The sequence below is a fragment of the Homo sapiens genome, chromosome 3 (genome assembly GCF_000001405.40).
Source record: "Homo sapiens chromosome 3, GRCh38.p14 Primary Assembly".
In the NCBI taxonomy this organism is placed as follows: Eukaryota; Metazoa; Chordata; class Mammalia; order Primates; family Hominidae; genus Homo; species Homo sapiens.
In genome coordinates, this window is record NC_000003.12 from 100,333,819 (window position 1) to 100,361,734 (window position 27,916).

At 43.2% G+C, this 27,916-nt stretch overlaps 1 protein-coding gene across 1 annotated transcript, besides 7 other annotated features; it reads left to right on the forward strand.

Annotated features, from left to right (window-relative positions):
• Positions 707–1,275: an enhancer, noted in NCBI's record as "H3K27ac hESC enhancer chr3:100053369-100053937 (GRCh37/hg19 assembly coordinates)". NCBI's record gives its function as "activates a minimal SCP1, AML or CMV promoter by ChIP-STARR-seq in naive H9 embryonic stem cells {active_cell/tissue: H9 hESC(naive)}" and the evidence as "EXISTENCE:reporter gene assay evidence [ECO:0000049][PMID:30033119]".
• Positions 939–1,268: a silencer, noted in NCBI's record as "silent region_14570". NCBI's record gives its function as "represses an Ori minimal core promoter by ATAC-STARR-seq in GM12878 lymphoblastoid cells {active_cell/tissue: GM12878}" and the evidence as "EXISTENCE:reporter gene assay evidence [ECO:0000049][PMID:35858748]".
• Positions 939–27,817, forward strand: NIT2 (nitrilase family member 2). Its single transcript, NM_020202.5, has 10 exons — positions 939–980; positions 5,269–5,387; positions 5,997–6,117; positions 7,255–7,343; positions 11,767–11,860; positions 12,363–12,437; positions 14,985–15,063; positions 18,586–18,684; positions 20,954–21,009; positions 21,359–27,817. Exons 1-10 carry the CDS (start codon positions 974–976, stop codon positions 21,448–21,450), a joined length of 831 nt encoding a protein of 276 aa, NP_064587.1. The 5' UTR covers positions 939–973; the 3' UTR covers positions 21,451–27,817.
• Positions 1,369–1,418: an enhancer, noted in NCBI's record as "active region_20154". NCBI's record gives its function as "activates an Ori minimal core promoter by ATAC-STARR-seq in GM12878 lymphoblastoid cells {active_cell/tissue: GM12878}" and the evidence as "EXISTENCE:reporter gene assay evidence [ECO:0000049][PMID:35858748]".
• Positions 1,439–1,498: an enhancer, noted in NCBI's record as "active region_20155". NCBI's record gives its function as "activates an Ori minimal core promoter by ATAC-STARR-seq in GM12878 lymphoblastoid cells {active_cell/tissue: GM12878}" and the evidence as "EXISTENCE:reporter gene assay evidence [ECO:0000049][PMID:35858748]".
• Positions 1,619–1,698: an enhancer, noted in NCBI's record as "active region_20156". NCBI's record gives its function as "activates an Ori minimal core promoter by ATAC-STARR-seq in GM12878 lymphoblastoid cells {active_cell/tissue: GM12878}" and the evidence as "EXISTENCE:reporter gene assay evidence [ECO:0000049][PMID:35858748]".
• Positions 1,619–1,961: a biological region, named in NCBI's record as "Sharpr-MPRA regulatory region 4023".
• Positions 1,667–1,961: a silencer, noted in NCBI's record as "tiled region #4023; K562 Repressive DNase matched - State 1:Tss". NCBI's record gives its function as "represses a minimal TATA promoter and a strong SV40 promoter by Sharpr-MPRA in K562 cells {active_cell/tissue: K562}" and the evidence as "EXISTENCE:reporter gene assay evidence [ECO:0000049][PMID:27701403]".
• Positions 27,818–27,916: the final 99 nt, after the last annotated feature.

Sequence of the window (27,916 nt, forward strand, 5' to 3'; positions counted from 1 at the left end):
AAATAAAAATGCAAAAATCATAGTCTATAGGCTGGGCGCAGCAGCTCACGCCTATAATTCCAGCACTTTGGGAGGCTAAGGCAGTAGGGTCTTGAGCTCAGGAGTTTGAGACCAGCCTGGGCAAAATAGCAAGGCCCCACCTCTATTAAAAGTAAAAAACTTAAAAAAAAAAAAAAAAGAAAGAAAGAAAGAAAAAGAAAAAAGGAAAAGAAATAGCTAGGTGTGGTGGTGTGTGCCTGTAGTCCCAGCTACTTGGGAGGCTGAGGACGGAGGATCGCTTGAGCCGGGAGGTTGAGGCTGCAATGGGCTGAGACTGCTGCACTGCACTCCTGACTGGATGACAGAGTGAGACCCTGTCTAAAACAAACAAACAAAAAAGGATATTAGCAAAGAGATGACAATGTATTCGAGGACTGACTTGTTGAGGGCATGGCGTTGAACCCTCAGCATCTTTCCCGTTGGCCTAGCAGCCTTGTAGTCAGATTTTACAGACGTCTCGCGTGCCTAAACCAACCAGGGTCATTCCGTCCCCGTCACAGAGACTTGTTCAAATAGCTCAAGCCCATCAGCATACGGTGTTAACCTGGCCACAGAGGTGATTCAACCAGCTAGAAGTTCAGTCCTTTTGCGGAGAATCAGCAAACGCTACAAATCAGGGCTTTCCTCCCTGAAAAGTCTGGTTGTTAAGACATTCACCAGCACACCACCTCGACTTAGGCCGTTCCCTTTTGCCCTTTGCCTTTCGAGGCATGCTTTTTCCGGACTGTGTTGCAATTAACCATTTCTCGTTGGTCCGTCCTGGTGTTACAGGCGCACTGGAATGAACGCAGACCCTTCTCTCCTCCCGGCCGGGGCCAGGAGGAGGGGTGGGGCGGGGCCTCTGACGCGGTCCCCGCCCCACCGTAGCGACGCCGCGGTCCGCCGGATCTCCAGCGCTCAGTCCGCGCCGCAGGTGGTGCTTGTCTGCAGAGTCATGACCTGTAAGTGGCGCGGCCGCGCGCTGCAGCTCGAGTTCGGGCCGCGGGGGAGGCTTTGGAGCGGCGCCGGCGGTGGCTCGGCCGGCTCAGCCCCTCCGCCCCGCGTCCCCGCCGTGCGCGGCCTTCCCTGAGGCGGGCGTCCGCGTGGGTCCGGGATCGCGTGGCCGGGCGGCCGGGCGCACTCCCGGGATTCCAGGCTTCCGGGGTGGCGGGCGAGGCCCAGAAAGCACCAGGCCACCCGGCCGCGCCGGCACCCGCCGCGTCCTGCTTGACAGAGGCTGATGGACGTGTATTTCTCCACGGTGTGGGCCGCGGTGGTAGGATCCAACTCCCTTGGGTGTTTTCAAGTTGCGTGACCTCCTCCAGCCCCGCCCTGCACAAAGGTGCCCAGGCGGTTCTTCGTCTCCCCACTCACTTTCCAGCTCCAGATTTTGACTTGGATTCTTGCTGTGTCACTTACTTTGTTCAGTGACTTTGTGCAGCTTTCCCCCTGCAAGTCCCCTGTTTCTTTATTTGTAAAATGATGTTAATGATACCTCACACAATGATGTTAATGTGTGAAGGACCTGGCACATTGCTTTAAATGTTATTCCTTTGTTGTTTCCTTCGCTCACAGTATTTTATTCTTTTTTTCCGCCCCTTGGTAAGGTCTTCGTTGTTAGATTATGATGAATATTAGGGCAGCCTTAAAAGTCTTCACTTTACAGATGAGATGGAGTGACGGGCGTCTCCTCCTCAGCATGAGGAACTGCCCAGTGGCGGGGTTTCCCTGCTGCAGCATGTCTGTAGAGTGGGTCATTTGCAGAATGATAGGCAGTCCTAAGCTTAGTTGAGGACCCCGCCCTTGTGGGTGAGATGTGTAGGAGAGGAAGCCATCAGCGTAGCCATGGTGAGCTTTATCTTTCCCACCCTCGGAAGCACAGACATGGCCCGGCACGTGGCTCACGCCTGTAATCCCAACAGTTTGGGAAGCTGAGGCACGAGGATCGCTTGAGTTCACGAGTCAAGAGTTGGAGACCAGCCTGGGCAACATGGCGACACCTTGTCTGTACTAAAAAATACAAAATTAGCCCGGTGTGGTGGCACGCCCCTTTAGTCCCAAACTACTTGGGAAGCTGAGGAGGGAGAATGGCTTAACGCTGGGAAATGGAGGGGAGACGTTTAGTGGATTTATCTGCTGTTCTGATAACAGCTCAAAATATCTGTTTGCCCCAGAATAATCCCAGCTTTTATTTCCTGTTTTAGTTTCCCTTCAGATTCTATAACTATTTAGCAGGCTGCCTTCAGGGTTAAATTTAGTGCTTCTCACTATATTTAGGATAGATCAAGGAATGGGACATCTGAGTTTTCCTTTTAGTTAACCCTGAGCCAAACAGGCCTTCATCAGAGGCCAGGGTTTGTCATTGTTGCCTTTTCTGGAGACATTTGCGTTGTTACAGGAAACACCCAAAAGAGATAGCTCTCTAATGGTAGGATTTTCAGACTCTGGAGCAGAGGTGGGATGGGAAGTTCGGGCAGGCCATTACTAATTGAAGGGGTGGGTTGCCCCTCCACACCTGTGGGTGTTTCTCGTTAGGTGGAACGAGAGACTTGGAAAAGAAAAAGACACAAACAAAGTATAGAGAAAGAAGTAGGGGGGCCCAGGGGACCAGCGTTCGGCATACGGAGGATCCCGTCGGCCTCTGAGTTCCCTTAGTATTTATGATCATTCTTGGGTGTTTCTCGGAGAGGGGGATGTGGCAGGGTCATAGGATAATAGTGGAGAGAAGGTCAGCAGATAAACACGTGAACAAAGGTCTCTGCATCATGAACAAGGTAAAGAATTAAGTGCTGTGCTTTAGATATGCATACACATAAACATCTCAATGTCTTAAAGAGCAGTATTGCTGCCCGCCTGTCCCCCTTCCAGCCCTAAGGCGGTTTTCCCTATCTTAGTAGATGGGACATAGAATCGGGTTTTATACCGAGACATTCCGTTGCCCAGGGACGGGCAGGAGACAGATGCCTGCCTTCCTCTTGTCTCAACTGCAAAGAGGCGTTCCTTCCTCTTGCACTAATCCTCCTCAGCACAGACCCTTTACGGGTGTCGGGCTGGGGGACGGTCAGGTCTTTCCCTTCCCACGAGGCCATATTTCAGACTATCACATGGGGAGAAACCTTGGAGAATACCTGGCTTTCCTAGGCAGAGGTCCCTGCGGCCTTCCGCAGTGTTTGTGTCCCTGGGTACTTGAGATTAGGGAGTGGTGATGACTCTTAAGGAGCATGCTGCCTTCATGCATCTGTAACAAAGCACATCTTGCACAGCCCTTAATCCATTTAACCCTGAGTGGACACAGCACATGTTTCAGAGAGCTCGGGGTTGGGAGTAAGGTTATAGTTTAACAGCATCTCAAGGCAGAAGAATTTTTCGTAGTACAGAACAAAATGGAGTCTCCTATGTCTACTTCTTTCTACACAGACACAGTAATAATCTGATCGCTCTTTCTTTTCCCTACACTAATAATTCCTGAAGTTTTGCAGAGCTTCATAGATTATAATGTGCTTTGGATCCTTTACTGCTGCGTCCCACCAGACCATAAGCAGGAACTATGTATCCATCAGGGTCCAGACAGGACATGGAAACAACACTAGTAACTCGAACAAGGAAAATTATTTATTTATTTATTTATTTTTTTGGAGACTGAGTCTCACTCTGTCGTCCAGGCTGGAGTGCAGTGGCGCGATCTTGGCTCACTGTAACCTCCAACTCCCAGGTTCAACTGATTCTCCTGCCTCAGCCTCCTGAGTAGCTGGGATTACAGGTGCCCACCACCACACCTGGCTAATTTTTGTATTTTTAGTAGAGACGGGGTTTCACCACGTTGGCCAGGCTGGTCTGAAACTCCTGACCTCAGGTGATCACCTGCCTTGGCCTCCCAAAGTGCTGGGATTACAGGCGTGAGCCATCACACCCGGCGGAAAATTTTATATAAAAAATTATTATCTGGCCAGGCGTGGTGGCTCATGCTTATAATCGCAGCAGTTTGAGAGGCTGAGGCAGGAGGATCGCTTGAGCCCAGGAGTTCGAGACCAGCCTGGGCAACAAAGTGAGACCCTGTCTCTACAAAAAATTACATAATTAAAAAATTAGCCCGGCATGGTGGTGCATACCTGTGGTCCCAGCTACATAAGAGGCTGAGACAAGAGGATTGCCTGAACTGAGTAGGTCAAGGCTGCAGTGGACCATGTTTGTGCCACTGCACTCCAGCCTAGGCGACAGAACAAGGCCCTGCCTCAAAATAAAAAATATTAGCTAATGGAAAGTGATTATCATAAAAGCTAAAAGGGAACTTTAAAGAACAGAAGAAAAGCAAATATGATGTATAGCTACTACCTCCAGGAAGAAATAAGCTTGGAAGAGCCCCCAACCTCCTTGCTCCAGGGCTGAGCACAGACCTTGTCAGGGCTGGCTACATAATTTGTGGGGCCCAGTTCCCTTGTTCAGATAGCAAGAGAAAAGTGCTGTTAGCTTTTCCTTCTGCAGTATCTCTTTCAACCTCTCATGGTGTTATTTGCTGTTTAATATCATGTTCTCTTGGACACATGAATACTTATGGGGTAAGTGCAGACTTTTAGAGGTGCCTGGGACCCCTGTCCTGTGAATAGGCATGTGTGCAGCTCACTGGCTGCCAGGTTTTCCCTCTGCCAGCAGCGGGATCGATGTGCTGTGACCCAGCCAGTAGTGGGGAAACTGAGACAGACATCTTCCCTTCCCATGAGCTGGGCTGCTCATGGGAATTATGTGAGCAGCTTCCAAGGAATCACACTTTCTGTGCTGGGACATACTCAGTATATGGATTGGAGGTAGACGAGAGGCCCATGAACAAACAGTAAGGGACAGGACCATATTCAAACCCAGTCTTTTTACTTTAAGCCATATTCTCATTTCATTCCCTACACTGCGTAGTAAGAAGCTGGTTCACTCTAGATTCTTGTGCCTGGCATGGGACTTTGCCCATGGATATTGCTCTATCTCCAGATAGATTTTAGACTATTGACATTTTGGACAGGATAATTCTTCGTTGTGTTATGGAGGGGGTTGTCCTATGCATTGTAGGATGTTTGGCAGTATCCTTGGTCTCTATTCATTAGATGCCACTCATACCTCATCAGTTGTGGCATCAAAGGTATCTTCAGACATTGTCAGATGTCCCCCCGGGGACATAACTGCCTTCCATTTGAGAACTATGGCTCTGTCTGAATCCAGCAGTTCGATCTTCTGATAGCTGTTTTCTTTTGTCTTTGTTCTCAGCTTTCCGCTTGGCCCTCATCCAGCTTCAGATTTCTTCCATCAAATCAGATAACGTCACTCGCGCTTGTAGCTTCATCCGGGAGGCAGCAACGCAAGGAGCCAAAATAGTTTCTTTGCCGGTCAGTATGGGAGCAGCCATTCTGTTCTAGCCACTGTACACCCAAGCAGAACGGTGTTTGCTAGCTCTGGTTGTCCTCTTGTATCCTGGGGTCCAGCAGTGTCCCTTGGAGCCCATAGATTGTTCCGAGTCTGACTGGAGGATGACCTTAGCAAGGTTCTTTGTGAGATAGGATGTGCCAACACGGTCATAGGTCTTTAGGTTTTGGATCTTCCTCTTTGTTCAGATGAGGAAGCCAAAATCCTAGTATATTGAGGGACTTACGGAAAACTAAAATACTCAGTGCTTGGATACTTTGTTCCTTATTTAACTAAGTCTTTATAGAACCAGAACATATTGGTTTTAGCACTAAGCCTCCAACATTTTTTTTTTAAATGAGCTCTGGGAGAACACCTGTGATTTGTCTCCTCCAACCCACTAGGCTAGCTTTGTAGTCTTACCTGTGGCTACAGGCTCTTTACCCTTGAGATGTCAGTGTTTTTCTTATTAGCTGTGTTTTAACCCTTCGACTGAAAGCAGAGCTAGAAGCAGCAGCTATGGCCTCTTACAGCAGAACTTTAAAATGGGTGGGTGTTTTGATCTTTTTTTTTCTCTGCCAATATTTTTCTAGGAATGCTTTAATTCTCCATATGGAGCGAAATATTTTCCTGAATATGCAGAGAAAATTCCTGGTGAATCCACACAGAAGCTTTCTGAAGTAGCAAAGGAATGCAGCATATATCTCATTGGAGGTAACTTCCTACCCACAAGGTATAATGACCTAAACATTAGAAACATCTGAATGAGTCAGGTGTGGTGGCGTGCGCCTGTATTCCCTACTTGGGAAGCTTCAGCTTGGGAAGCTGAAGCAGAGAGTTTCTTTTTCTTATTTATTTATTTTTTTTGAGGTGAGGTCTTGCTTTGTCACCCGTGCTAGAGTACAGTGGTGTGATCATGGCCCACTGCAGCCTCACCCTACGAGGCTCAAGTGATTCTCCCACCTCCTGAGTAGCTAGGACTGCAGGTGTGCGCCACCATGCCTGGCTGATTTTTGTATTTTTTTGTAAAGACAGAGTTTCACCTTGTTGCCCAGGCTGGTTTTGAACTCCTAGGCTCAAGCAGTCTGCCCACCTTGGCCTTCCAAAGTGCTAGGATTACAGGTGTGAGCCATCATGCCAGGACTGTTTTTTACTATACTAATAGAGGATTGAGAAAAAAAATTTTTTTCCATAGAGGCCACATACATAAAGGTAGCTTTATTTTTGTGGTTTTGGAATAAATGTTTAAAGGTTTTATTTGCTTAAATAAAAAATAAACACAGAAAAATTCTATAAATATAGCAAATACAATTTTTTCTGTATGATGATATATTAAGAATTAGAAATGAAGGCAAAGCAAGAAGCCTGGAGATGAAACTGCATTCAGTGATGGAGAGGCTTCTGACTTTACGTTCTCATCTTTTGGGACACAGTTTTGTTGCAGAACCTGGTGAATTCAAGTTAAGCAATGGGAAATTTCTCATTTTGCCCTAATGTTACAGATTAAGTGTTACTCAAGATCATGGCTGAATTTCAGGAACAGTTTGGTTATTTTTTAAACCTGTCTTTGGCATCTAACCTAATCATATCCCATCTACACTCTGGAGTTTATCTCTGAAAGATCATATTCAAGAAGGAAAAAAAAAACCATGATTAAGTAACCCATAGAAGGGAATACTTATTCTGTATTATAGAATGAGGTGTTGCCTTATTCTAAAAACAAAATGAATAAATAAACCGTAAAAGATAGGTTCTTTATTTTTGGACCCAAGTTATCAGGCTTTTATCCCTTTCTCACAAAAGAATTGCTCTATTCTTTTTCTTATGGTATGTTTCTTCTCTCAATGAAAGGCTCTATCCCTGAAGAGGATGCTGGGAAATTATATAACACCTGTGCTGTGTTTGGGCCTGATGGAACTTTACTAGCAAAGTATAGAAAGGTAAGTAGGAAGTGTGGCATAAGAATTTGTTATCTCTAAGCCAGCAACAATGTGTGGAAAAAAAATTTGCTATGAAGTTCCCTAGTCCCTCTCATTATATCACACATGTATTAGGGTTTTGACTGATTGGCACAGGTGGTTATTCTTGGCCATTTGCATTTTTATATAAGTTTTAGACTCAGCCTGTCAATTTCTGCAAAGGAACAAGCTATAGTAATTTTTTTTTTGACAGAATCTCGCTCTGTCACCCAGGCTGGAGTATAGTGGCACAATCTTGGCTCACTGCTAGCTCTGCCTCCTGGGTTCACACCATTCTCCTGCCTCAGCCTCCCGAGTAGCTGGGACTACAGGTGCCCACCACCATGCCCAGCTAATTTTTTGTATTTTTAGTAGAGACTTGGTTTCACCGTGTTAGCCAGGATGGTCTCAATCTCCTGACCTCATGATCCACCCGCCTCAGCCTCCTAAAGTGCTGGGATTACAGGCATGAGCCACCGTGCCCAGCCAACCTATAGTAATTTTTATTAGTATTTCATTGAATATATAGAGAACACTGTGGGAAGAGTTGCCATCTTTTTAGTATTAAATGCGTATACATGACCAGGTGCAGTGGCCCATGCCTGTAATCCCAGCACTTTGGGAGGTCTGAGTAAGTGGATCACCTGAGGTCAGGAGTTCAAGACCAGCCTGGCCAACATGGTGAAACCCCATCTCTACTAAAAATACAAAATTGGCTGGGTGTAGTGGTGCACACCTATATAGTCCCAGCTACTCAGGAAGCTGAGACAGGAGAATTGCTTGAACCCAGGAGGTGGACGCTGCAGTGAGCCAAGATTGCGCCACTGCACTCCAACCTGGGCAAGACAGAGCAAGACTCCATCTCAAAAAAAAAAATCATATACATTTAGTATCATTAAGTCTTCTTGATGAGTTGACCCTTTTATCATTATGAAATATCTCTTTTTTTTCTTGTAATACCTCTTGTCTTGAATTCTGCTTTATCTCTGCTATCACTATAGCCACTCCAGCCTTCTTATGCCTAATGTTTGCTGGTACGTGGTTTTTCCAGTTCTTTGTTCTCAAGCTATATGTGTTTTTATATTTTAAGTGGATCTCTTTTGTCAACAGCATATAATTGTATCTTAATTTTTTCTTTATTCTGACAATCTGTGTCTTTTAATTGAAGTGGTTAGTCCATTTATATTTAATGCACTTATTGATATGATTGAATTTAGGGATAGAGACATTTTACTTTTTTTTCCCTTTGTTCATCTTTTCTGTATTATTTTGGATTAATTGAATATTTTTTAGAGTTCTGTTTTAATTTATCTATTGGCTTTTTAGTTATACATCTTAGCTTTTTTTTTTTTTCCAGTTGTTGCCCTGGGAATTATCATATGCATCCTTAACTTTTCACAGGCTACTTAAGAGTTCATATTATATCATTTCATGTGAAATTTAAGAACCTTATAATGATATAGGTCCATTTTTCTACCCCACTGCCCCTGCCCTCATTCTTTATGCTATAGTTGTCATTTGTATTCCATGTATATATGTTATAAATCCCACAAAACAGGAATACTTGATTTAAATAGTCATATGTATTTTAAGGAAATTAAGAAGAAAAAAATCTTTATGTTTACCCAAATATTTATCATTTCTGGTGTTTTTCTTTCCTTCCTGAAGATCCTCCTTCTATCTGGTATATCCTTCAGACCAAAGGATCTCATTTAGAATTTTTGTTCTGAGGATCTGTTAGCTAGGAATTCTGTTAGTTTTTCTTTATGAATATATCTTTACATTGTTTTCATTCTTGAAAGATATTTTTGCTGGAATAGAATTTTGGATTGATAGTTTTCCTTTTTTTCCACTAGTAGTTGTTATCTAGCCTTTTTTTTTTTCTTCCCTGATGAGAAGTGAGTAGTAATTTGTATTGTTCCCTCGGATATAATTTGTTGTTTTTTCTCTCCTTCTTTCAAGTGTTTTCATAATCTTTAGTTCTTAGTATTTTGACTCTGATATGCCTAGATGTGGTTTCCTTTGTCTTTGCCTTCCTTGGTACTTCTTGAAACTGTAAATTTAAATCTTTCACTGTGTTTGGGAAGTTTTTTGACACTATTTTGTTAAATATTTTTCTGTTCCTTTTTCTTATGGAGCTCCAGTATATGTATATTATATTTTTAAATATTTTTCCAAGGTCACCAGGCTCTGTTTTTCTGTTTTTGTCTTTCCAATACTTTTTCCTTCTCTTCTACAGATTAGATAATTTCTGTTGATCTTTCAGACTTATTCACTGTTTCTTCTGTCTTCTTCAATTTCCCGTAAGCCAACCCAGTGAAATTTTAAAAAATTGAGATATTAAAATTTTCAGTTCTGAAATACCCCTTTGCTTCTTTTTTATAGTTTTTATTACTCTATGATATTTTCTATTTGTTCATTAAAAGCATATTTTTCTTTACAGTGTTGAGCTTAGTTAGTTTCTATAGCTGCTTTAAAGTCTGATAATTATCACATCTGTGTGCCACAGAATGAGACTATTAGGCCTTTAAAAGGCCCCTGATGTAAATAAACTCATATCCAAGCAAACAACAAGAAAAAAATTATAACATCTGGGTCATGGCAGGATCTGTGTTCATTTGATTGCCTTTTCTTTGCAGTTTGGATCACACTTCTGTTTCTTTGAGTATCTACTAATTTAAGATTGTACAGTGGATTATATATTGTAGAGATTCAAGATGCTATTACAGTCTTCCAAAAAGTGTTGAATATTTTGTTTTAACTGATGGTTAACTTGGCCGCACCCAAACACCAAACTCTTATCTTCTTTGAAACGTGGGCAGCAACTTTAGCTGCTCTGTTCTATCTGGTTGTTCTGCCCCACTTCTATTTAACTCAGTGATCAGCCAGAGATTTAGAAAGATTTTATATGCAGAATTTAGGGCTCTCCCTCTTTGCTTTCTCCATTTCAGGATTTCCCCCCTTGGTTTCCAGCTCTGGTTCTTCAAGCCAGTGTGATTATGGGTCATTTTCACCACTACTTATCACAGCAACTGGGACCTTGCTTCAGGGTAGCAGCTGTAAATAGCACCAGGAAGTTCACCCAGGGCTGTTCCCTGCTTCCACATGTCTGTGTTCTTCTCTTCAGATTTTGTCTGCTTTGTTTTGGTCATTCTTCAGTGCTTTAAGTAGTTGTGCCTTTTATTTTGTCCAGAGTTCATAGTTAACCACAAGAAAACTGGTCTGATAGGAGCTACTGTGTACCTGCTGGAAGAACAGCCAGCATTGGACTATTAACCCAACTCTTTGAAGTATATCTTTTTAGTATTAAGTTTTCCAGTCCATGAATGTGGTATATATCCTGACATTTATTACGCTTTCTTTACTTTCTCTCAATTTCTTTTTATAGTTTTTTGGGTATAATTTTGTTTAACATTTGTGAGATTTATTCCTCATTGGTGTTTTTAGATGCTCTTTCATTTTCTGTTTTTGTTTTTGTTTTTTTGAGATGGAGTCTTGCTCTGTCGCTTAGGCTGGAGTGCAGTGGTGTGATCTTGGCTCACTGCAACCTCCACCTCCCTGGTTCAAGCTGTTCTCTTCTTTCAGCTTCCCAAGTGGCTGGGATTATAGGCATGCACCACCATGTCTGGCAAATTTTTGTATTTTTAGTAGAGACGGGGTTTCACCATGTTGGCCAGGCTGGTCTTGAACTCCTGACCTCAGGTGATTTTTAAATGCCCACCTACTTTCCACCTCTCCTGTCAATTTGTCAGTTTGATTCTGATAAGTATTTTTTTTTTCTTTTTTTTTTTGAGAGAGAGAGTCTTGCTCTGTCACCCAGGCTGGAGTGCAATGGCGTGATCTCGGCTCACTGCAACCTCCACCTCCCAGGTTTGAGCAATTCTCCTGCCTCAGCCTCCTGGGTAGCTGGGACTACAGGCACGCACAACCACCCCCGGCTAATTTTTTTTTCTATTTTTAGTAGAGACAAGGTTTCACTACTTTGGCCAGGCTGGTCTCGAACCCCTGACCTCAGGTGATCCGCCCACCTCGGCCTCCCAAAGTGCTGGGATTACAGGCATGAGCCACCGTGTCCGGCCTGATTCTGAGAAGTCTTTATTTAGCATTTATATTTTTAAAAAGCAACATATTAGTTACCTCCCATGAGAAACCTAGAGGTTGATTTGCAGACTGCTAGAAAATAGGGGTTATAAAAGGTACAGTATCATTTTTCCAGTTCCCTGTGGTAGAATTCATTTTGATAAGGTGTCAGCCAGCTTGTGGGGTGGATTATAAGCAGTTTGGGGGTGCTGTTTGTATAGTTAATCTTAGAGCACCTTCCGTATCTGCCCGGGGAAAGATATTGTCATTACTGCCATGGACCCTGCTGGAAAAGAGGTAACCAAATCCATTATTTGTGATGCAGATCCATCTGTTTGACATTGATGTTCCTGGAAAAATTACATTTCAAGAATCTAAAACATTGAGTCCGGGTGATAGTTTCTCCACATTTGATACTCGTATGTACCAGATAAGTTTGCCTCTTTAGCAATCTCAGTAGAAGACAATCAGGTATTTATTTCTTTTTTGTCTCTCTCCGATTTCTTCACATAACCTAACTGAAAGACCATAAGTGAGAAAGGCAGAGAATCATCACAGATCTGGAAAGTTCGGGCTTATTTGAGAACTAAGGATTTGACACGATTTTGCCCTTTGATTTGATTGTAGCTTCCTGTTACGGCTTCCAGAGTATACCTATTAGGCTACAGTTGAGTACCTCCCATCTAGATAATAAGCATTCAATTAGAATGAATTTCTCATCTTTACTCCGCTGATGTAAATGATGTCTTTATGAGATGAAGTCCAAGTAGGAATGAGCTTGTAAATTATCTCTGTCCTCAGGTCCTGTGTTAATTTATCCCTGTCAGTGTTTTGTGATCATTATGTCATGGAGGATTTCCCCTGCCACACCATGCTGTAGGGAGTTAACTTTTCATTTGTGCATTTTCTGTTTGGAAACAGCTTACTGCAGAGTGGGTCTGGGCATCTGCTACGACATGCGGTTTGCAGAGCTTGCACAAATCTACGCACAGAGAGGTGAGGCAGTGTAATAGCTGTGTTATGTGGGTGCTTGGAGGCTTGGTTCTAGGCTGGTCTATGTGGGATCCTTAGTCAAGAAAAGCTGGGAGAGGGCTCTTTAATTTCTCCATCTTCAGCCCTTTCACCCCCATGAGGCTTCCCAGACTTTTGCTGTGTATGGATGACAGGGTTTTTGGGGGGTTGTAATTAAACACATCATGTAGCTAAGGTAGGAGCTGTGCTCATAAAGGTCTGGTCTACCCTTGAGTCCTTGTTACTGTGTTTGGAGAGTCACTTGAAGCCCAGTAGAAATGAAGTGGATTTCACCACTCAGTACCCCTAGACATTGGGTACAAGTAGAAATGTGGTCTGTGATATTTTGGTCCAGACGAGGAGAAATGTGCCAGTATCTGGGAAGAGCGAGTTCAAAAGATGTGGGTTCTAGTTCCAACTCTTCCCTTTAATTGGCACAGTACTTTGCTAAAATGATTTCACCTCTAGAGCAGTGTGGTTCTCAGTTTAGTCACAGGAATGATATGAGGATTAAGAAGAGAGAACCTATAAAGCCCCTCGTGTGGTACTCAACAAATACCAGCATCCTTACTAGACTGCTTGAAGCTACTTCCAAATAGACTGTCACTTAACCAAGTGAAGTGGGTGGAAATGGTTTGACTGCCTGCTCAGAAGGTGGAGGTGCATGGGCTCTGGGGTCAGTAGTCTCTGTTGAGCCATATATCAATAAGCCTTAGGGCAACTCCTCGGCCCCTAATTTCAGTTGAAAAGAATTACAAAACGTGGTCATTGGCCATGTGGAGCTGACATATGGAGCTGAGATAAATTTGTTTTTTTTTGTTTGTTTGTTTGTTTGTTTTTTTGAGACAGAGTTTAGCTCTTGTCGCCCAGGCTGGAGTGCAATGGTGCAATCTCGACTCACTGCAACCTCCACCTCCCAGGTTCAAGTGATTCTCCTGTCTCAGCCTCCTGAGTAGCTGGGATTACAGGTGCCCACCACCAGGCCCAGCTAATTTTTGTATTTTTAGTAGTTATGGGGTTTCACCGTGTTGGCCAGACTGGTCTTGAACTCCTGACTTCAGGTGATCTACCCGCCTCGGCCTCCCAAAGTGCTGGGATTACAGGCATGAGCCACCGCACCCAGCCAGAGCTGAGAGAAATTTGAATGACAGTTCTCTACCTTATTTTTGTTTGTTTGTTTTGAGGCAGGGTCTCACTGTCACCCAGGCTAGAGTGCAGGCGTGATCATGGCTCACTGAAGCCTTGGTCTCCTGGACTCAAGTGATCCTCCCACCTCAGCCTCCCAAGTAGCTGGGACTCTAGGCATGTGCCACCACACCTGGCTAATTTTTAAATTTTTTGTAGAGATGGGGTCTCTCTATGTCGCCCAGGCTTTCCGTCCTTTTTTTAAGTGAAGTTGATACCGGTGGGCTAGGGGAGGCCCCCAAACACCAGTCTGACCTTGACCCCAGCCAGTGTCCATGCTATTGACACTATTGCAAGAAGGAATTCAAGGATGAGTCAGAAAATAGTGGAAGTATGGAGATTTATTGCAAAGTGAAAAGTACACACTCAAAAAAGGGAGGGTGTGTGTACTCAAGAGAGTCATGCGCAAGGAGGTTTGGGCCATCTACCTTTATGGGTTTCCTTTTTTTTTTTGAGACAGAGTCTCAATCTGTTGCCCAGGCTGGAGTGCAGTGGTGCGATCTTGGCTCACTGCAACTTCTGCTTCACAGATTCAAGCAATTCTCCTGCCTCAGCCTCCCCAGTAGCTGGGATTATAGGCGCTCGCCACCACGCCCAGCTAATTTTTTGTATTTTTAATAGAGGTAGGGTTTCATCATGTTGGCCAGGCTGGTCTCGAACTCCTGACCTCAGGTGATCTGCCCACCTCGGCCTCCCAAAGTGCTGGGATTACAGGCGTGAGCCAGCGCACCCACCGCCTTTATGAGTTTCTTTACCAAGGGGTGAAATATTCATGACGCTTCCTAGAAAAAGGTGGAGATTTCTCGGAATTGTGCCACTCATTTTTTCACCAAATACGGGTGTTCCAGAAACTATCATGGCACGGGTGGGTGTGTGATTTAGTATGTTAATGAGCTTATAATGAGGATAATGAAGTCCTAGGTGAAACCTAGGTCAAACCCAGCACCATATTGAGTCCACTGGGTCTTAGCCCTAGTTTCTCAGGGTCTTAGCCCCTAGCGTAGGCAGCTATTTCAACAGTTTCTTTTTGCTAGTCATATGAAACTGCTGCCTGGAATTTTCTGTTCTCTTGCGACCGTCCTGTATTATTTCTGTCTCAAAGTCACATGTGATTTTGGTCATCAACACCACTTTTCTTGTGTGTCCATATGTGTGTGACTTACGTGTTCGTATTAAAGGAATTCAGAGCCATATCTTAATTGCTGCTGGCACTGTCTGACTTGGCTGACATCTTTTTATGTTTGGGAAAGTTTGAGTTCAGTTCCTGCTAGATAAGGAACAGTGGGGAGGACTGGTTTTGTTGAGTGCTCACTGCATCCACTGTTCTTTGGCTTTTCTCTCCCCAAGGCTGCCAGCTGTTGGTATATCCAGGAGCTTTTAATCTGACCACTGGACCAGCCCATTGGGAGTTACTTCAGCGAAGCCGGTAAGAAAGGAACCATATATTCAAGCCTCTCGGCATGTCCTCTTTGTAGAAAGATTTCCGGTTGGGTGGAGGTGCCAGCCTTCCTGATGTGGATTCTGTCCCTGACTCAGGATGCCCTTGTATCCAAATGCAGTTGGAAAGGATGAAGCTATAAGGAGGACTTCTACTGCACGTCACTTTCTCCTCAGAAGCCACAATACCAACCTCATGGATTTTGGAAACTGTACTTTTTTTTTTTTTTTTTTCTTTTTAAGAGACGGGTCTTACCATTGCCCAGGCTGGAGTGCAGTGGTGTAATCATAGCTCATTACAGCCTTGAAATCCTGGGCTCAAGAGATCGTCCTGCCTCAGCCTCCTGAGTAGCTGGGACTACAAACATGCGCCACCATGCCTTGCTAATTTTTTATTTTTTGTAGAGATAGAGCCTCACTCTGTTGATCAAGCTGGTCTCAATCTCCTGGCCTCAAGCGATCTTCCCGCCTCAGCTTTTCAAAGTGCTGGGATTACAGGTGTGAGCCCCAAGCCCTGCCGGAACTGTGGTTTTGGCATTTTCAATATTCAGTGTATTAGATGGGAAGGGATTTCATTTTTCTGTGATTAGATGTGGATTGGTCCCTCTTAAGTCAGTTCCAGCAACTTTTACAGAGAAATTGAGAACCACAGAGCTTATGTCTTCAGAGCCCCAGAAGCCAATTAAAAGGCAGGGATTAGTTTAGCTTGACCTAGGGAGAGATTTGTGGTCTGTACCCAGCTGATTCTATGCCATTCAGATCAGGATGCTTATCCTACCCCCTCCTTCACACCATCCTACTAGTCCTGAGGGTACTGTGCCAAGAAACTCATGAGAAGCTCTTGTTCTTCTAACCTATAACTCCAGGGCTTTGCACAAGCATCTTTGGCAGGTCACAGGTGCCTTTCCTTAGTCTTCTAAGGCTGAGAGGTGGTGAAGGGCAAATAGCATAGGTGGACATAAGATGGAAGGGAAAATGAATGTGACTGTGAGTGTGTCTGTCTGTCTGTAAAGTGCTCTACAGCCCATGAAATGCTGGTCTGAGATGATGGTTTTCTTTAGAATTTTTAAAAGTTGAAGTAATACAAAAAAAGTGTACTAATTTTAAGCATAGAGGTTGGTGAATTTTTGTGTATTCACCTGCCACCAAGATGAACATAACAGAACATTTCCAGCCCCCGAGGATGCTCCCTTTTTTGCCCCTTTCTAGTTAGTACTCCTCCCTCTGCCTAGAGGTAGCTGCTGTTCTCACTTCTAGAGATGGTGGTAATGTTTAATGTAAGGGAAAGAGGTTTTAGCTGGTTGCATGGTGGAAGATGGGGGTAGGGGTATAAGATGCCATGAGTATCAGTGAAGGTACAGTTTTGTCAAAAGTGAGAAGTTTCTGGGATACTGAGATGACCCAGCATGGGTCTGTTAAGTCTCGAGGGCTCCGAGGTGAGGTGCTTTGGTGTACCTGGACTGCGAGCTGCAATTTTTGTTCTATTTGAGGTGGTGGGACTGCCACCATGGGCATGGAAGCGCCATGTGGCCTGCAAGGTGTATTGCTCTCATAAGGCCACTCCATTCTCTCCGGCCACCTTGACTTGCTTTAACCAGAGAAGCTCTTCTCTTATGTTAGCTTATAGCAGGCTTTCTCAGCAGTGGCACTGTTGACATTTAGGTGTGTAATTCTTTGTGTGGGGGCTGTCCTGTGCATGGTAGGATGTTTAGCAGCATCTGTGGCCTCTACCTGCTCGATGTCAGTAGCATCTCCTTAGTCACGACAGTCAGGAAGATCTCTAGACATTGTCAAATTTGGTGGGCAACATTGCTCCTTGCTGAGAACCACTGGCTTATGCAGTAAGGTAACTTTGCACAATGTGCAGGTTAGTTACATATGTATACGTGTGCCATGCTGGTGTGCTGCACCCATTAACTCGTCATTTAGCATTAGGTATATCTCCTAAAGCTATCTCTCCCCCCTGCCCCCACCCCACAACAGTCCCCAGAGTGTGATGTTCCCCTTCGTGTGTCCATGTGTTCTCATTGTTCAATTCCCACCTATGAGTGAGAATATGCGGTGTTTGGTTTTTTGTGCTTGCAATAGTTTACTGAGAATGATGATTTCCAATTTCATCCATGTCCCTACAAAGGACATGAACTCATCATTTTTTATGGCTGCATAGTATTCCATGGTGTATATGTGCCACATTTTCTTAATCCAGTCTATCATTGTTGGACATTTGGGTTGGTTCCAAGTCTTTGTTATTGTGAATAGTGCTGCAATAAACATATGTGTGCATGTGTCTTTATAGCAGCATGATTTATAGTCCTTTGGGTATATACCCAGCTACCAATGACTTTCTTCACAGAATTGGAAAAAACTAAAGTTCATATGGAACCAAAAAAGAGCCCGCATCGCCAAGTCAATCCTAAGCCAACAGAACAAAGCTGGAGGCATCACGCTACCTGACTTCAAACTATACTACAAGGCTACAGTAATCAAAACAGCATGGTACTGGTACCAAAACAGAGATATAGATCAATGGAACAGAACAGAGCCCTCAGAAATAACGCCGCATATCTACAACTATCTGATCTTTGACAAACCTGAGAAAAACAAGCAATGGGGAAAGGATTCCCTATTTAATAAATGGTGCTGGGAAAACTGGCTAGCCATATGTAGAAAGCTGAAACTGGATCCCTTCCTTACACTTTATACAAAAGTTAATTCAAGATGGATTAAAGACTTAAACGTTGGACCTAAAACCATAAAAACCCTAGAAGAAAACCTAGGCATTACCATTCAGGACATAGGCATGGGCAAGGACTTCATGTCTAAAACACCAAAAGCAATGACAACAAAAGCCAAAATTGACAAATGGGATCTAATTAAACTAAAAGAGCTTCTGCACAGCAAAAGAAACTACCATCAGAGTGAATAGGCAACCTACAAAATGGGAGAAAATTTTCGCAACCTACTCATCTGACAAAGGGCTAATATCCAGAATCTACAATGAACTCCAACAAATTTACAAGAAAAAAACAAACAACCCCATCAAAAAGTGGGCGAAGGACATGAACAGACACTTCTCAAAAGAAGACATTTATGCAGCCAAAAAACACATGAAAAAAATGCTCACCATCAGTGGCCATCAGAGAAATGCAAATCAAAACCACAATGAGATACCATCTCACACCAGTTAGAATGGCAATCATTAAAAAGTCAGGAAACAGCAGGTGCTGGAAAGGATGTGGAGAAATAGGAACACTTTTACACTGTTGGTGGGACTGTAAACTAGTTCAACCCTTGTGGAAGTCAGTGTGGTGATTCCTCAGGGATCTAGAACTAGAAATACCATTTGAGTAAGGTAACTTTTTAAAGAGAAGGTTCCATGGCTCTGGCTTCCTTCTACATCTGAGTTAGCCTGAACTATCCTATTTTTTAAAAGAAGGATCTATCTACTTGGGTTAGAAAAATGTCAGATTTATAATGTACGATTTACCTCTTTCCTGTCTATTGACTACAGGGCTGTTGATAATCAGGTGTATGTGGCCACAGCCTCTCCTGCCCGGGATGACAAAGCCTCCTATGTTGCCTGGGGACACAGCACCGTGGTGAACCCTTGGTGAGTAAGGCTAAGTGAGAATAGGCTCAGTCGGAGCTTGAGCTTGAGTGGTGGCTCGTTGGCAGATGGGTTTTCTGGTTCCTGAGCAGCCAGGCGCTCACTTCTCACTCCCATTTCCCCACATATCCTGCCAGCTTTCTGCCTGTCTCTGTGAGAGGAGCTTCCATTTGAAAACCATGTGAGAAGCAAATCACCCTGCTCTCATGATCAAGCACTTGGCCTTAGCCCTCTTCTGAGTTTCTGGTGACCTTCACTGTCAGTCATACTTGGATCACATGGGGAAACAAGGCAGCAGTGACAGGCAGGTTGTAGTAAGAGACTCTGAAATTTTTGGTTAAAATTTAAGTTGGCTGACTAGTCCCAGGGTAGGAATGAGTTACAGGGTGAGGACTTTGCTTCCAGCATAATGATCAGAGGAGCAGTCAGGATGGTTCAATAAGTGAAACTATGACCCTCTCCCCAACAAAAGGGTGAAGCATTTTATTACTCAGTGGAGCCAGCACATAAGCCTGCCCAGACAGAATTACAGTCATACGCTCATACGCATTCCTTACAGTCTACATTTGTACAGTTTACATCCTACTTTCACAACATGGTCTCAACTTGAACTCTCAGGAAATTGTTCTTATTAAGCCCAGTTTATAGATGGTAGAATTACAGAGGAAGCGACTGGAATTCCAGATGTAGCGGCTAGACCCAGTGTTTGAATCCAGGATATTTGCCTTCAGAACTTGGATGTATTCCACACTAGTTCTCTGTATGAAAGCACACACACACACTGGTATGTATGTCTACATTTCAGGATGAGTATACCAGTAACAAGACTGAGAAGAGTTAAATGTTACTGTGGGGTTCCTGAGGGTTCTGTCTTCTGCCTTTATAGGTAGGGCTCAGAGCTCAATGTGTGTGGTGGGGAGGCCTTGGAAGATATGACTAGTGTGAGATTCCAGTTGGCCTCCTGCACATTAGGCTTGGGGACATTGAAGGACTAAGTTGACTTGAAAATTTTCTTGAACTTGCATCAGGTTCCACTGTCCAGAAATCTTTGAATGCCAGGGCAAATGGGGAAGAATCAGAAAAGAATTCAGTTACGTGTCATAAATGGTGGTGCTTGTATTTGTAACTCATTTGTGCCAAAAGTCTGTCTGTGGCTATCTGGTAAACAGAATCAGTTGTTATGTCAGATTATTTTGGAGAAGGTTCATTTCTCTAGGTAAGGGTTTGAACCCTTGCTCTGGGCCAAGAGACTAGACACTGGAGATAGTTTCTTTTTTCTTTTTTTTTTTTTTGAGATGGAGTTTCACTCTGTCGCCCAGGCTGGAGTGCAGTGGTGCAATCTCAGCTCACTGCTGCAACCTCTGCCTCCCGGGTTCGAGCCATTCTCCTGCCTCAGCCTCCGAGTAGCTGAGATTACAGGTGCACACCACCACGCCCAGATAATTTTTGCATTTTTAGTACTGATGGGGTTTCGCTTTGTTAGCCAGGCTGGTCTCGATCTCCTGACCTCAAGCGATCCACCCACCTTGGCCTCCCAAAGTGCTGGGGTTACAGGCGTGAGCTACCGCACCCTTCCTGGAGATGGTTTTACAGGTCAGCCTTACCCTGGATTGATGAAGGAGTGTGGCTGTTCCCTAGTGCAGGGCTCCTGCCAGTGTGAGGTTACCCTCCATCCCCCCATGCCACTTCTACCCAGTCGCCAGAGGTTGAACTCTTTCCCTCAAATCTGAAACTGAAGCCCATTAACACAGGGGTTCAGGTATCACAGCCACCAGGGCAGAGACCCCAGCAGATCTGGGGCCCTGCCTAGGCCCAGCTTCACCACTCTCAGGGAGGGTAGCAGCCCAGGCAGGTATGAAGAGTGGGTCTGGACTGCCATTGTAAAGGGGGGGTCCACTGAAATGCACTCATGAGGGCATGAGATGGAGCTTCCTGTTGGTGGTAGGTAGCTCTATTGCCAGATCTTTATAATCATCAGATAACCACCGTCTCCTAGTGATTTGCAATTTATGAAACATGATCCATAATTTTATCACTAAGCCCTCACAGAGCTCTTATTTCCACTTTATAGATTAGGAAATGGAGATTTAAAATGCCTTCCCATAAGGTCACAGAGCTATTTAAATGATAGAACATAAATCTGTACGACTACCTTCTTGTTTTCAATCTCATACTTTCCCCTTTGGCCTGTGAGCTTGGGAGGAAAAAACAGAGACCTTGAATATCACCAAACATCAGTGAATCCACTCATTCTCTTCTGCATCTTTTTCAGGGGGGAGGTTCTAGCCAAAGCTGGCACAGAAGAAGCAATCGTGTATTCAGACATAGGTAAGATTTTCCTGGGCATGGTTTAGGTCTCTGATGTCCCCATTGTTCTGAGGCCAGACTCCATGGCTGGGAAGTCCCTGTCATTTGGAGGGGTTCCTTTATGCCCCTTCTCATTGATCTCTGGGGATATTCTAGGGTCTGGTTCTCTGGCCAATCCCTGGGGAGTGTATCAGCTTGAATTTTCTTGGTTTGGTTTGAAATGATGCCAGGCCATCTGTGCACCTAGATAAGACCTATGTTACTAAGTTACTTACTAAGACTCTGGTGGTTTATACAGTCAGGGGAAGAAATCCCCTTGGTTAGTGAGGAGTTGCAAATTATTAATAGTGCACTTTCCTGTTTTTTGCAGACCTGAAGAAGCTGGCTGAAATACGCCAGCAAATCCCCGTTTTTAGACAGAAGCGATCAGACCTCTATGCTGTGGAGATGAAAAAGCCCTAAAGTTTATGTTTCTAATGTGTCACAGAATAGGACGATATGATTCTACAACATAATCAACTCCCTATTAAATTCTTTAATGAAGATTTTTTTTTTAATTCGGCCTTGTCCTTCCTAGGTTCTCTATTGAGATGAGAAAGCCTCATTATGCTGACATTTTCCACGCCACATTAAATAGTTAAAAAGGATGCAGCCTGGAGCCAGAGAGCAGAAAGCTGGGCTGGTTCTGAAGCTTCTTCCATACTTAAGTTGCCTCCAAGCAGTTTGTGAAAGTATCAGATCTTGGTATCCTGGTGATTGATTCACCTAATATAAATATATTTGTGTCATGAACCTCTTATCCCGTTGCTGGAGTTGTAATCTCCATCATCTAGAAAACGTGGTCTGGTGCTATTCTTTTCCAAGCAGTACCTTGAAGTTCCATTTTTGGTTCATGAGTAGCTATAGAACGCAAGGTGATACATCTTTGGTGTTTGCCAGAGAAGTTGGCAGCCCCACCCCTCCTACCAGCCTTTGCACTCTTCAAATTTAAAAAGGAGCTACTTATCAACCCCAGGCCCTTCTGGTCTTAGAGGAAGGACTGGGCCAACAAAGAGCACCATGGGAGAATGGCAGTGGTGGCATTTAGTGAAGACAATTTAGTATGAATGTCTGCAAAAGATTTTTTTGATAGCGTTGAGTGTCTGAAAGTCCCATTATTTTTCTTTTTTCTTTTTCCCCAGTAACACTTTCTAGCTCCACGGATAAGGAATCACTGAACCTAGTAGTTCTTAGACAGCTTGGTTTGAGAATCCTTTTGCGGTTAAAAATTAGGGACTGAGCCAGGCGCAGTAGCATGCGCCTGTAGTCCTAGCCACATTGGAGGCTGAGGTAGGAGGATCCCTTGAGTCCACAAGTTTGAGTTCAGCCAGAGACCCTATCTCACTATATATATGTATCTCAAAGACTTCAATGGGTTTTTGCTTACATGGGCCAGTAATTGTTGAACAACCAGCTATTTGAGAAAAAGCCCTGATTTTGCTGCTTTTCATGGTGTAAATACTTAACCATGGCTGAGTTTGAGCTATCTGCATGACACCTCTAAACACAGAGTTGGGAATAGATGTGCACAATCAGCTCTGGGGAGCTGGTGCAATCCTGCCCTAGCACACCACTGGTTTAAGATAGATATATCATATAGATATTTACCATTTACCATATTGGAAAGTAAAATGGAGAAAAATTTAAAACACAAGATACATGAGCACACATTCCATTAGCTATTAAGGTGATGGACACGGTGTCCAAATGACACGGTGTCATTTAACTTCTGGAAAACAACACTGTGTACTGAGAACAAGAGAAAGACAAATGACTTTTTTAAATTAAGTTTTTAATTTACAATTGATGCATAATTTTACTTTAAAAAAATAAGTGTGCAATTTGGTAAACTTTGACATATACAGCTATAAACCACTCCAATCAAGATAACATATTTACCACCCCCAACAGTTTCCATGTGCTGTATTATAATCCCTCTGGCTAGTCCTTTGTCAATCACTGATAAATTTTATTACTATAGATTAGCTTGCATTTTCTAAAATTATATAAAAATGAAATCATGCCATTAGTGCTTTTTCTGTATGTCTTCTTTCACTCAAAATCACTTGGAACTCAAAATTACTTCTTTCACTCAAAATCACTCAAAATTACATACTCTGTATGTCTTCTTTCACTCAAAATTACTTCTTTCATTTTTAGACGGAAGCATTTAGACCTCAAAATTACTTGGAGATTCATCTGGTATGTGCATTAATAATTCATAATTCATTCCTTTTTTATTGCTGAGTAGTATACAATTTGTTTATCCATTTATCTGCTGTTGGAGATTTGGGCTATTTCCAGATTTTGGCTGTTGCAAAAAAGCAACCTCACAGATCCTTTTAAAGGATGTCAGGTGCTTTCAGGTAACCCTAGACTATAGTACCACTGCTCTCTATCCTAGCAGGCACACTGAAAGTTAAACCTTGTAATAGTGCGAAATCATTTTCTTTTTTAAAAATATATTTTCTTACTTTTATATATTTTACTCAATCTCATGACAGATTACATTTTCTTTTTTAAATAGAAAGTCTTACTGTAAAGCCCACATCTGTATAAAAAAATGAAAGAATGATCTGGTTGATGTGGATGTGTGGAACCTAGGAACCTTCTCTTGGATTTTCTCTTATTCCCCAAAAAACTTCATTTCCTCTAAAGAGCTGCTCAGAAGTTTGAAAACCAGTGGACAAGCCATCCTAGCTGTCTTGATGCTAGAGAAGCAAAGACGCTTTACAGAGATGTAGCATTCCTGTAACAGGTAAGGCAGGTGGATGCTAAACTTTTTACATTTCTTTTTTTTTTTTTTTTTTTTTTGAGACAGAGTCACGCTGTCGCCCAAGCTGGAGTGCAGTGGCATGATCTTGGTTCACTGCATCCTCTACCTCCTTGGTTGAAGCAATTCTCAGGCCTCAGCCTCCTAAAAGTAGCTGAGACTACAGGCACGTGCCACCATGCCTGGCTAATTTTTGTGTTTTTAGTAGAGATGGGGTTTCACCATCTTGGCCAGGCTGGTCTTGAACTCCTGACCTCAAGTGATCCACCTGCCTTAGCCTCCCAAAATGCTAGGATTAGAGGCGTGAGCCACCGCGCCCGGCCTAATTTTTGTATTTTTAGTAGAAATGGGGTTTCACCATGTTGGCCAGTCTGATCTCGAACTCCTGGCCTCAAGTGATCCACCAGCCTTGGCCTCCCCAAAGTGTTGGGATTACAGACGTGAGCCACGGCACCCAGCCTTTTGTTTGTTTTTGTTTTTATGTATTTCATTAAATGAATTGTCCTTTTAGTGGTATATCAGGAGATCTTGCCTTCTGGTACTCTTGAAAAATATGAAAAGAAACAACTGAAGTAGGCATCTCCTATAATTAGTATGTAGCATTTTATTCTCAGAAAATGTGTGGTAACCTGGCCCTGGATTTTACCTTTTTGCAAAGTGATATCCGAATAAAATGAACACTAGATTCCCACTTGGAGTGGAAGAACATTGCAGTTGAGGCCTTGGGTAAGTTTTAACTGCCATACCCCTGTACTCCCCGACTTTCTAATGAATTAGACAATGATGTTTTATTTTTGTTTTTTGTTTTTGCATAATACTTTGAAGTCTGCTATCACAAGTTGTGAACCTCTATCTCTTGCAGTTTAGGTAAGGCAACACATTTAATGAATTCACATTTAAGTGAATTCCTCACAGGGATGACGACCTCTGTTGAAATAGGTCAGGATGTGCAGTTTGTGGTGAAAGTTCTACTTGACTTTGACCTAGCTGTTTGAAGCTGAGAGCTAACAGATAATAAGTGTTGCACTGGTTGCAAATGAATAAATAAGTAACATTATGGGGTTTTAAATGACCAAGGAGTAGATTGTGACATCGACTGGGTATTTAGGGAAGGACTCCTTCCTGATACCAAAAGTTAGGTCTGTGCAAAGTACACCAAGTGGAAAAAAGTTTAGACAAGAGTTTAGGTTTCAAGATAAATGTTCTGCTCTATTGGCACTGGTTTTAAGTCTTTTGTGCTACTTTTTAGGCATTGCTGTGTAAGTTTTGGTGGTGCGTGGGTACAATGAAGCCAGGAGGGATAGAAAGGGAAATGATGTGTGTGCTGCAGGCTAAACAGGGGCTCTTCCTTATGCCTCATAACCACCTGTGTGTGACAGTTTCACATTTCCTATCAAATTATTATCTTCATTCATTTCTACTTGTGAATGAAGTTCGGAGACTAAGAAAAAGCCAGCTGTTGGAATAGAAAGCACTTTAGGATAAAATGGTCTTGTTAAAATCACCAATTAAAAAGTTAAGCCCCTGATGTACAAATAACTAAAACACATACATACAAAGACAGTGCTTCTTGTTCAATGATTTACTTCACAGCTGATTCATAATCAAATGAACAAGAATCTGCAAGAACAGAACATGGTGGGCAGGGTCCAGTAATTCCAAATGTTGTCATCCTAGCTCTTCCTGAAGCATATTGAATCCTCCAAGTATATCCCGTTGTGCTAACTAGGCTTTAAGTCTTTTGTCTGTAGATTCATTCTCAAAGTTTCTCCCTCAGAACAAAGAGCACGCCATCCTGTAAAGTACTCTTCCTGATTTTTTTTCACCCAATTTCTTAGTTTCTTTCAATTGCTTTTCAGACCCCGGCAGGCAGATTCTGCCCTCATCTGTCCAGTGACACTCTTCTGGCAGATTACTAAAGACCGATTTGTAGACCTGTCCATGTGGCCTCTCTCAACACCATTGGTGTGACCTTGCTCATACTGCCTCTCTCACCACTTAACATTGTCCCTTAGATGTTAAAGGCCCTTATATTAATAGTTTTATTTTAGCTCCTTTACATTTTATTTTGTCCTGAGGAATCTCAGCTACATGCATGGTCTTCAATATATGCCGATAATTCTCATTCACATAGCTCTCCTGTTGGCTTTTCCCCACTCGTTTAAAAACAACCACTTCACTTTGCTGGACTCTACCTTGAATGCCTCATTTTCAGCTCACACTCATGCTGTGCCTTTATTTAGATTTGTTGTGGTTGTTTCCCCACATTCTGGAAGCTCCTTACCTAAATCCTGTTTATTCCTTAATGCTTAGCACAATTTATTACTCTTGTTTCCATGGCACTACATTGTACTTCTGTTTTAGAGACTACCTTCCTCTGAAGCATATGACAGGTTCATTTACTATCCAGCCCACCAAAACTCAGTTTTTGAGCTCCTCTATGTTCATCTTTTTATGGCTAACCCTCACCATCATGAGTGCTTAGTAAATGTTGAGTTGGAATGAATTTATTCCTACAGGTTGCACTTGCTCTCTCACCAAGTGTTCTGGCCAAATAATTCTGGAATGATTTCCTTACCTTAAGGGAGTCTGATCTGGGAAGAGCCTGGGACGTGATGTAACTTCATATGCTGTAGAGCTGAATATTCATTTACTTAAGATCTTAGCTCCATTAGAAAGCAGTGAAAGCAGTGTTAATTCAGAGGCCGGGTATGGTGGCTCACGCCTGTAATCCCAGCACTTTGGGAGGCCAAGATGGGCAGATCACTTAAGGTCAGGAGTTCAAGACCAGCCTGGCCAACATGGCAAAACCCCATCTCTACTAAAAATACAAAAATTAGCCGGGTGTGGTGGCACATGCCTGTGATCCCAGCTACTCGGGAGGGTAAGGCAGGAGGAGGTTACAGTGAGCCAAGATCACACCACTGTACTCCTGGGCAACAGAGTTAAACTGTATCAAAAAAAAAATGCAGTATTGATTTAGAGCTAAGGTCACCTGATGCTCAGGCCAGTAATTTCTCCCTGCATCATGCTGTTGTCTAAGGCAGACACTGTAAAGCTCTACACTGCTGAAAAACTAAGCTTGAGATGCATAAAAGAACACATAGAGATGGGGAGTCAGTTCTCCATACATTTTGTGAGTAGAGGCATTGGTGTTTTGTTCCAAACTATCCAATCGAGAATGTTCATATAATGACAGCTTTGGAAGGTAGAGACTATCTTCCTCTGGATCATAGGACAGGTTTGTTTACTATCTGATACAGTCAAAATAGTGTTTCCCTCTAATGCGAAAGTCAGGCCAGTTTGCTTGTGACCTCATTAGATTTGGGCTGTGACGCAAACCCACTGCATGTGCAGTATCCACCTAGCTTGCCCTGTGTCACTCCCATGGGATCTGTGGCTCAAACTCATGTTGCTTGCTATGTTCTAAATAATTAAGTCTGTTGTCTGACCCAGGAGTCTCATGTCTTCTGCCAGCATTCAGAAAACTAGTTTTCAAGAAGGGTAACATCTTAGACCTTTTACAGCTCTTGACACAGAGCAATATTGAGAAATAAAATCAGGTAAAAGTTATTTAATATAGCAGTTCATAATTTAGGCCATGGATCATCTCTGCAGAGAATCCTACCATGCTGCATTCTTGCTTTAAACCTTTCGCCCTCTAAAACAATGCCCAAGAGCCAATGTTAGTCATGGTCTTCCTGTATTTGCTCTAGGTAAGCTGTTTCATAGCCTTCCAGGACAACACTTGCACAGGTTATCTTTAAGCACCAACAAAAGAAATGGAGAAATTTGAGCCATGTATCCTGAGCTCTGAAAGGCAGCAATCATCTTGACCCCAAGCATACACCATGTTCAGCTTCCTCCCCTTGGCCAGGTACCACAGCTACTTCTATCCCAGTGATCAGCAGGCCCTCCAGCATGAAGACCTTTGAGAAGGATCTATAGCTGTCAACTCCTAATATGATTTGTGCACTATCACCTTGAAGTAAACCAGACTAGTTATTTTCATGCTAAGAGTCTGAAAACAGTGCCTTCTTTCTGATGTCTCTTGTAGAATATTGGCAGAGGGATCTCAATTTTTACTTTATACCTGAAGGGCAGCTTTTTGGTCTG